This window comes from Homo sapiens, chromosome 15 (assembly GCF_000001405.40).
Source record: "Homo sapiens chromosome 15, GRCh38.p14 Primary Assembly".
Lineage (NCBI taxonomy): Eukaryota > Metazoa > Chordata > Mammalia > Primates > Hominidae > Homo > Homo sapiens.
In genome coordinates, this window is record NC_000015.10 from 23,438,525 (window position 1) to 23,447,975 (window position 9,451).

Below are 9,451 nucleotides of genomic sequence, written 5' to 3' on the forward strand. Positions count from 1 at the left end.
AAAAAAAAAAAAGTTTTCAACTTTCACTAAAGGCAGAGTAGCTTGTTATAGATTAGCTTCCCCACAAGAACAGTTAGAGAAACTGGACAAAAATGTGCCCCCCCATCAAAAACAATTGTTTGAAGGTAATGGGAGACTTCAGCCAGAACTTGAGTGACCAGGCCTGGGAGGTGAGCCTGACAGTCTGTAGTGCTTTCCCACATTTGGTGATTGGTCAACAGTAGAGGGCTAAGAGGCTAAGAAACTGAGTATTATGAAGTGGTAGTTAACAGGCTGGAAAGCCTAGCTGAATGTTTGGCACTCTCACAGGGCTGAATGAGAATTTGGGTCCCAGGAAGGAGATGGGACCTTGGTGGCAACTCTGGAAGGGCCACCCCTAGGAGTCCAAATGAATAAAAAATAGACCAGCCGTCACAAACTAAAACCTGCTTTGAACTAGCTTAGTCCCAAACTAGATGAAGGCAATCTGCTCTTACTCCAATTGTGTGCCATAAAGTCAAAGTCAATACTCTCTGGAGGCACATAAAAGTTTACTAGGAATGCCATAAAACAAAACAAGACTAAATGAGAAAGACCAAGAAGAAAAACAATAGAAACATACATAGATATCAGAGTCCTCAGGTAGAAACTTTTTTTTTTTTTTTGAGATGGAATCTCGCTCTGTCATCCAGGCTGGAATGCGGTGGTGTGATCTTGGCTCACTGCAGCCTCCTGAGTAGCTGTGATTACAGGCGTGCACAACCACGCCCGGCTAACTTGTATTTTTAGTAGAGACGGGGTTTCATCATGTTGGCCAGGCTGGTCTTGAACTCCTGACCTCAGGTGATCCACCCCCTCTAGGTCTCCCAAAGTGCTGCGGTTGTAGGTTTCGGCCACAAGGCCTGGCTAGTATTTTACCACAATTTAAAGTAAATTTTCTTTTCTTTTTTTTTTTTTTTTTCAAGTTTGTGCTCAGACTATATTCACACAGTGACATGGCGGCTTATGCTTCTGTAGGCCTTGTTGACAGTGCCAACTTTTAGATATTGATGATCTTCATCTTTCTCTTGTCTCCTCGGTAGAAGAATGGGATGCAGGAGGTACTGCCTAATCCTGGGCACTGCTGGGCGTTCTTCATCCCACAAAACAGCTGCATGATCTCCTGTGCAGTGGGGTTGTCCTGCGGAGAACCCTCCCCAGCCTCTCCTCCTGCAGGCTCCACACTGCCAGTGTGGCTCATATTACAAAGAACTTTGGAGGGAGGGAGGCAGGGCTCTGAGCACCGCTCCTCGTGCTCTGGCAGCCTCTCCTGCATCTTCTCTTTCTGATCTCGTATCCTCTCCTCCTTCTCTCGCATCTCCTCCTGCCCCCACATCTTCTCCTCCTGCCCCCACATCTTCTCCTCCTGGCCCCACATCTTCTCCTCCTGGCCCCGCATCTTCTCCTCCTGCTCCCGCATCTTCTCCTCCTGGCCCTGCATCTTCTCCTCCTGCTCCCGCATCTTCTCCTCCTGGCCCTGCATCTTCTCCTCCTGCTCCCGCATCTTCTCCTCCTGCTCCCGCATCTTCTCCTCCTGCTCCCACATCTTCTCCTCCTGCTCCTGCATCTTCTCTTCCTGCTCCCACATCATCTCCTCCTGCTCCTGCATCTTCTCTTGCTGCTCCTGCATCTTCTCCTCCTGCGTCTTCTTCTTCTCCCGCATCTTCTCCACCTGCTGCCACATCTTCTGCTCCCGCATTCTCTCCTCCTTCTCCCGCAGCCTCTCGTCCTGCTCCCACATCCTCTCCTTCTGGTCCCACATCTTCTGCTCCTGATCTCCTGCTCCTGCATCTTCTCGTGTTCCCACAGCTTCTCCTTCTGTTCCGGCAGCCTCTGCTGCTCCCACATCTTCTTCTTCCTGCTCCCACATCTTCTCCTCCTGCTCCCACATCTTCTCCTCCTGCTCCTGCATCTTCTCTTCCTGCTCCCACATCTTCTCCTCCTGCTCCCGCATCTTCTCTTCCTGCTCCTGCATCTTCTCCTCCTGCTCCCGCATCATCTCCTCCTCCTCCCGCATCTTCTTCTCCCGCTCCCGCATCCTCTCCTCCTCTCGCATCTTCTCCTCCTGGTCCCATGTCTTCTTCTCCTGCTCCTGCGTCTTCTTCTCCTCCCGCATCTTCTCCTCCTGCTGCCACATCTTCTTCTGCTCCCGCATTCTCTCCTCCTTCTCCCGCAGCCTCTCGTCCTGCTCCCACATCCTCTCCTCCTGGTCCCACATCTTCTGCTCCTGATCCCGCATCTTCTCCTCCTGCTCCCACATCTGCTTCTCCTGCTCCTGCAGCCTCTCCTCCTGTCTCCACATCTTCCTGCTCCCGCATCTTCTCCTGCCGCCACATCTTCTTCTCCTGCCCCCACATCTCCTCCTGGTCCCGTATCTTCTCCTCCTGCTCCCATATCTTCTCCTCCTGCTCCTGCATCTTCTCCTGTTCCCACAGCTTCTCCTTCTGTTCCGGCAGCCTCTGCTGCTGCCACTCCTTCTCTTCCTGCTCCCACATATTCTCCTCCTGCTTCTGCATCTTCTCCTCCTGCTCCCGCATCGTCTCCTCCTCTTCCCGCATCTTCTTCTCCCGCTCCCGTATCCTCTCCTCCTCTTGCATCTTCTCCTCCTGGTCCCGCGTCTTCTTCTCCTGCTCCTGCATCTTCTTCTCCTCCCGCATCTTCTCCACCTGCTCCCACATCTTCTCCTGCTCCCGCATCCTCTCCTCCTTCTCCCGTAGCCTCTCGTCCTGCTCCCACATCCTCTCCTCTTGGTCCCGCATCTTCTGCTCCTGCTCCCGCATCTGCTTCTCCTGCTCCCACAGCCTCTCCTCCTGTCTCCACATCTTCTCTTCCTGCTCCCGCATCTTCTCCTCCTGCTCCCACATCTTCTCCTCCTGCTCCTGCATCTGCTCCTCCTGCTCCCGCAGCTTCTTCTGCTCCCGCAGCTCCTTCTCCTGCTCCCGCAGCTCCTTCTCCTGCTCTCGCAGCCTCTTCTCCTGTCTCCGCATCTTCTCCTCCTGCTCCCGCATCTTCCCCTCCTGCTCCCGCAGTCTCTCCTCCTGTCTCCACATCTTCTCCTCCTGCTTCCGTATCTTCTTTTCCTGCTCCCGTAGCTCCTCCTCCTGCCTCCACATCTCCTCCTGCAAAGTGTTGGTTTGAACCTCAAAAGGAAATAGACTTATGAACTAGCTATATAAATGTAATCTATAAAATAACAGTTTTCATCTATGATTCTTTAAAAAAAATTTTTAAGCCTTAACACTGAGGTTCTGATTTCCCAGGCAGGGCCCCAAATTTGTAGATTTTTAGCACACTCTAGAGGATTCTATGGTGGGACCAGAACAAGGACCCAAATTTTCCAGCTCTTGGCTGGACCCTCCCCATACCTTGCATGATCCCTAGACCATGGTCCTAGCTGGATGGGTCTCCCACAACCCCTGGGGCTGCAGCCGCTCACCTGTGGCAGCAGGAACTTGGCCCTCTCCAGTTTCCTTTTTAGCTCCTTCACGTTGAGCTGGATCTCAGACTTTTCAGATTCTGCAAGTCGAAGTTTTTCTTGTAGTTCGGCATTTTTCTTCTTCAGCTCCTCATTGGTTATGCTATGGCCCGAGGCAGTAGAGAAAGGAATGAACGAAGAACAGAAAGGACTGCTTTGGTGATCAACCCTCTACTCTCGCCCCACAAGCACAGAACCGTGGCACTGGAAGGGACCCCAGGAATTAAAAGTCCCAGGTGGCAGGCCAGAGAGAAGACATGAGTTGCCTGAGGCTACCCCATGAGTCAGTGGCACAGCCGGCACTAGAGCTTCCCTGTGCACACATGTAAACCTGTATGACCCCCTACCATGCTCACCTGTACCCCCCACCTCCCAGCACACCACCCACGCTAAGGGCCCCCAGACCTCCCATCCCACCTTCCCCCATCCTACGTGTTCCTGTACAGTTCCAGACTCAGGGCGTCCCTCTCCTTTGTTAACTCCTCGATGTACTGCAAATAGAGAAAGGTTAAGTCAGGACAGAGCAGGCAGAAGAGCAGCTGGCCGACCAGGAACAACAGCTACACTGATACTCCACAGTAACACTCCCTCACTCTCCATCACACCCGACATGTTCTCAAGGCAATTCCAAGCCCATGGTCTCATTTTTTTTTCTTTTTTTTTTTCTCCTTTTCTTCTTTTAGAGATGGAGTTTTGCTCTTGTTGCCCAGGCTGGAGTGCAATGGCGCAATCTCGCCCCATGACAACCTCTGCCTCCCGGGTTCAAGCAATTCTGCCTCAGCCTCCTAAGTAGCTGGGATTACAGGCATGCGCTACCACACCTGGCTCTCACTTGTTTTTCAGAGAACTCAGTAAGGGTAGAAGGGACAGGGAAAGAGACTGAATTGATAGCTGGCTAACAGGGGCCCAGAGAGATCAGATAATATTGCTATTGCTATTACTGTTATTACTGCCACTGTTGGAACCTTTCTTGAGTGCTTCACCAGGCACTATGCTAACAATCCCATTTAATCCTCACAACCTCCATAGGAGACGGTTACCATTATTACCTCTATTGTATAGATGCAAAACATGGGGTATTAAAAGTTAAATGGTTGCCTAAGATCACTTTGACAGAGCTGGGATTTCAACACCCAGGTGTATCTGATTCTCTAAGCCCATTCTTTCCCTGGGGGTAGGGGCACAGATAAGAAGGAGGAAATTAATCCTTTGTTGACTTTTTGAAAGAACGATACATTGGCATAGTCCAAAACTCAGAAGGTAGAGAAGGGAAATATCTACCCCACACACACTGTTCCTGTCTCCTGAGTTTTTTATGAATCCTTACAAATATGTTTTTATGTATGTTACCATAATACGTACACACACACACACACACACACACGCACATGCACACTTATGTGTGTTCCCTCTCTCTACACAAATGGTAACATACTAAAGATACTCTTCTGTACCTTCATGGTACAAATACCTTAACCCCTGCCTAGGACTTGGTCAAGGCCACAGCCAAGTATGGGCAGGGCAGGCTCTTGGCCTTGGAGCTCTGTGTCCAGTGCTCGCTCCCCACAGTGCCCCCCAACTCACCCACAGCAGCTGACTCAGCCCCAACCTGCCTCTAATAACCACACACAAAAGCAGCAAGAAATGACCCATACTATCTTCTGGGCAGGACACTGCATCCTGCAGGAGGGACCTTTAGGCTCATTCCTCCATCTGCGAAGCTGGGATCCCAGGAGACTGGGGAGGTGATTGGACTTACCCTGTCTGCCTTCTTGTGCCATGTGGACACAGCAGAGAGAGCCCGCTGTAACTCTCCTGCAAAGTGCCAGGAATGATGCAAGCGGCCGGCGAGATCCTTGGACTCTCCTGGAATGAGAGAGGTTGAGACACAGCCCAAAGGACTCCCCCTAAAGGCCTGTGAAAGTGCCAGGTTGAAGGATGATGGGGTGCCCAGGTTCCCATCTTCAAATTTCCTGGCAGCATCCTGGCTGTAATAGAGCGCTGTCTCCAGTTCAGTTTTCTGACACGTGAGAATTCGTATTGTATGATCCTGGGCCTTTGGGAGAAAAGACAAGCAAGTGCTGAAAGAGAAGCAAAAAAACCTTCTCCAGAGGACAGGAGGGAACTTCACACCCTCCACTCACCTCTATCTCCCGCCTTAGGGCTTCCTGATGTTGGTGGCTTGCCTTCTTTTCCTATAGAAAGAGGAAGACAGAGCTCTTACTAGGGGGAGGCAGAGATCCACAGCAAGAGACATGCCCCCAGAATGGCACCAATGCCCCAGGACAGGCGCACCCATGGGACCAGGTTATCAGGGACCCTGTGGGGATGGGGTGGAATCTTGGCGGTGAGCCTTCTTCCCCAAGCTGGGAGTAGGCGAGATGAGACGGGCCTCTACATCTGAGTGCCCTCCAAACCCAGCAGTCATGTCGTGAGCAAACAAATCACGTTACTTCTTTCAGCTGCGCTCGGTTCTGTTGTGTCTGTGGGGAGAGTCAAAGGAAGGTGACTGAGGGTGGCCCCCTGGACTCTATTCCCCAGGCCAGGAAGCGGTACGCAGGGGTCAGGAATGGATTTTAAAGGGCAACGTTCTCAGACCCAATGGGAACATGAAGTGGTAAACTCTCAACTCCCAAAGAAGAGATTTGGGTCTTTGTTGGTTTTTGCCCTCAGCCACGGAACTGAAAGTCTGAAACTAGATTATCTCAAAAAGACAGTAACATAAACCTTCAGAGATGGAGTGTGAGAAAAGCCCACCCTTCTGCTAGCTTGTGATTTAGAAAGGTGCATTCATTCAACAAGCATTGAGCAAGCACATAGGGGCCGGGGACGGTTCTTCACTGCTGGGATATAGGACGGAAAAGGCAGACAGGAGCCCTTGGCCCCAAGGTTTCCATTCTAGTGAATCTTTAAATCTCAGACTCTCAGAGCAAACAGAACCTCTGATACTCTAACTCTACCTCCTCAGGAAACGGAAGCCCAAAGAGGAGGGGAGCTTACAGCAGGCCCTGGACTAGGGATTAACACAAAAACAACAGCAACAAATCTGATTTAAGCTTCACACATGTAAGTAAAACATTACCATCCCCATTTTACAGATGTGAAAAGAGAGGCCCAAAGAGCTCAAGCAATTTTCCCTAAACCGTGTCCCTCGCAGATGGAGAGAGAAGTAGGACTCAAACCCAGAATTCTTAGCCAGTACCCGGCAGTTCTTCCTTCCACAATCTTAACAGTTACCCTCGACCTCCCCTTGTGCCCCTTGTCCTCAGGAGACCGGCCAGCCAAGACCCACATCCTCAGGTGAATGGCAACCCTCCGAAGTGGTTGTCTCAGGGTTAGTGCCATTATTTATTTTCTTCTTTTTGGTGTCAGTTGCTCTGGTACCAACACCAGCAATGTTCCACTGACGATAGTCTGTAAACTGTGGAAAAGAGGAGCAGTGATACTCATGAGAACTACAAGCTCCTACAGTCACTTTACAGTTTATACAAAATACTCTCATAGACGATCTGATTTAATGCCACCAACGACCGTACGAGGTGTTGTCGCAATCACTTAGTGACTGAGAGGGATTGATACCATGGCTAAAAAAAAGGCAATAATGGAACTTAAACTCAGTCTTCTGATTCTGAGCTCTGGGGTTTTGCCACAAATCGCAGCTGCCAGGGGCCAAAACCAGAGGCAGAGGTAGAAAAGTAAAAAGTAGACAGGAAAGTGTACACTGTTTGGTTTAGAGTCGTACATCCTCACACATCTGTTAGTGTGAAGAAGTGCACCACTACCTCTCAGACTTTTACATCAATGTATCCTCAGGGCAGAAGGCAGCTTTTCTGTTAAATCTGGGAATTTAACAGAAAGAGGACAACCCAAGATTCATTTCAGTGAGAAGTCTGGTATACTTTTAGAAATCCGTGTGACTGTCATCCGTAAGAACATTAATGTTTTGTCTCTCTCAAGAGAATCAAGGGAAACTGATGCTTCAGAAAGATGCCCCATATGTATCCTGTGGCACTCAAAGTACCCCAGGTTGAGATGCGATGAGGAAGATTCAAGTTGTCAAGTTCAGTTTCCCAAGATCTATTCCACAGAAGATGAGCAAATCTCACTTCAGAGATCACTGACTGATGGGCAATCTGGTCCCAGAACCATGGAGAATTCAAATATGAGGTGGAGAACTTAGAGAAAACTGTTAAAGTCTCTCTGGAGAGTAGAAGCCTGGGAGAAAACCAAACCAAACCCGTTCTCCCATTTCCACCAAGAGACAATGTCAACATTTTGAGTTCACAGGGGGAGGTGTAGGCTTTTCAAACTGTCAATGTCTGTGTTAAGGGAGTAAGGCAGCCTGAAACTTCTCGCTGCTAGGTCACATGGTCCCTACTCCCCTTCCAGCTGGAAATCTGTGATGCAACCAGAGGAAGCAGAAACAGGGTGAGAACACTTAGGGGACGGGTCCTAAGATCAAAGGCCAGTCTTGCAGCAGTAATGACAGTTCCTAGAGGGACTGTGACACCACTACATTTCACTCCTCTGTGGGGTGGTGGAGGGCCAGGGACACATCAGTGCTATGCCCAAGTTGCCTCTTTGAGGTTGGGGAGGGGTTCGCAGGGTTGGGACCCAGGTCCTTGGAGACGTGAGCCCAAAGAGCCCAGGGAGGTAGGGCTTGGGGCGACGGGAGGTGAGGGCCAAGTATGGAGCGGGGAGCCCCAGGAGTCACCTGCCCAAAGTCACCCTGGGGCGACTGGTGAGGGCAGGTGCTGGGACACACAGGTCCTTGGAGACACAATCCCAAAGGGCCCAGGGAGGTCAGTTTTGGGGTAATAGGAGGTGAGGGCGGAGTACGGAGTGGAGAGCCCCAGGGTTCACCGGCTCAGTCACCCTGGGGTCACTGGCAAGGGCCGGGGCAGGACTGCTGAGGGGGTGGGGCTGGCTGAGAAGATTTTGATTGGGGGAGCCCAGCGGCACTGGGGGGGACCCAGCCCAGTGTGCCTCTGGAATGGCATGGACTCTGGCAGATGTTCTGCCATGGGAGGGGGCCTGGGGCTGGGTTGGGGTTGGGGTGCCGCAACCCAGTGAGTTTTACCTTTTTCTTGGCCTCAGCCAATTTGTTCTGTCTGGTTTTTTCTGACATCATGGGGTGGGGAGGGAGGTGGGGTTGGGGCCACATCAGCGTGATTCAGACGAGGACAAGGATACACCTCCAGTCACGTACCACGCAGCTATGTGACTGAGCCAGAGGAGGTGTAACCAGGGCTGCACTAGAATGCAGAATAGGGGCGTGGCCTTAATGCTTCAAGCCCATTGGTCAGTGAGAAAGATGAAAGGGAAAGGAGGCGGGGCCAGGCAGCCACGTGTCATGAAGGACCTGTGATGTCACAAGGAAAGCCGCCCATGCAACTGCTGTCCCCGCCCACTCCAGGAGAGGGGCGGGGCTGGCTTTCACTTTAAAAACTTTAAACCTTTATCACCTTAATTGAGATACAAATCCTATTAAAATGGAAAATTTACAGCATGCTTGATGATTAATAAAGCAGACTATATTATCCAACATTCCAGTAAGATAATCACAGTGATTTCTCTTTTTTGGAAAAAGTTTCTCTTATTCTCCTACATTATTGTTAAGTTTTTTTGAAAAAAAAAAAACAAGAAACATGTCTGATATCTTTAAAAACACAAAGCTTTTGAGCTGGGTGCAGTGGCTCATGCCTGTAATCCCAGCATTTTGGGAGGCTGAGGCGGGTGGATCACCTGAGGTCAGGAGTTCAAGACCAAAATTTTAGTATGTATTTTAGTATTTATTTTAGTATTTAATGCATCATTTAGGGCTACATGTAGTCACAGAAAAAATAAATCTGATTCAGTGACTTAAAGAAATATAGATTTCATGGCCGGGCGCGGTGGCTCATGCCTATAATCCCAGCACTTTGGGAGGCCGAGGCGGACGGATCACGAGGCCAGGAG

The 9,451-nt window shown here is 50.4% G+C and overlaps 1 protein-coding gene across 3 annotated transcripts; it reads right to left on the bottom strand.

Annotated features, from left to right (window-relative positions):
• Positions 1 to 513: 513 nt before the first annotated feature.
• Positions 514 to 8,719, bottom strand: GOLGA6L2 (golgin A6 family like 2). Of its 3 annotated transcripts, XM_047432397.1 has the most exons (11): positions 8,574 to 8,719; positions 6,786 to 6,914; positions 5,947 to 5,976; positions 5,638 to 5,688; positions 5,253 to 5,549; positions 3,926 to 3,984; positions 3,455 to 3,596; positions 2,776 to 3,158; positions 2,685 to 2,736; positions 1,865 to 2,002; positions 817 to 1,681 (listed from the first exon to the last, which is right to left on the bottom strand). In XM_047432397.1, the coding sequence occupies exons 1-11, from the start codon at positions 8,655 to 8,657 to the stop codon at positions 1,019 to 1,021; spliced, it is 2,028 nt and encodes a 675-aa protein (XP_047288353.1). In that variant the 5' UTR covers positions 8,658 to 8,719; the 3' UTR covers positions 817 to 1,018. The 3 variants fall into 3 exon arrangements, with proteins under 3 accessions (NP_001291317.1, XP_047288352.1, XP_047288353.1); NM_001304388.2 differs by having other exon boundaries at positions 514 to 3,158; XM_047432396.1 differs by lacking the exons at positions 5,947 to 5,976; positions 6,786 to 6,914 and having other exon boundaries at positions 514 to 3,158.
• Between the last annotated feature and the right edge of the window lie 732 nt (positions 8,720 to 9,451).

Coding starts and splice junctions, on each gene's coding strand:
- GOLGA6L2 (NM_001304388.2), bottom strand. CDS start 8,657: ATGTGGCCCCAACCCCACCTCCCTCCCCACCCCATGATGTCAGAAAAA. Junction 5,550..5,637: donor CCCTAAGGCGGGAGATAGAG/GTGAGTGGAGGG, acceptor TTTCTCCCAAAG/GCCCAGGATCATACAATACG. Junction 3,985..5,252: donor GGCACAAGAAGGCAGACAGG/GTAAGTCCAATC, acceptor CTCTATTTGCAG/TACATCGAGGAGTTAACAAA.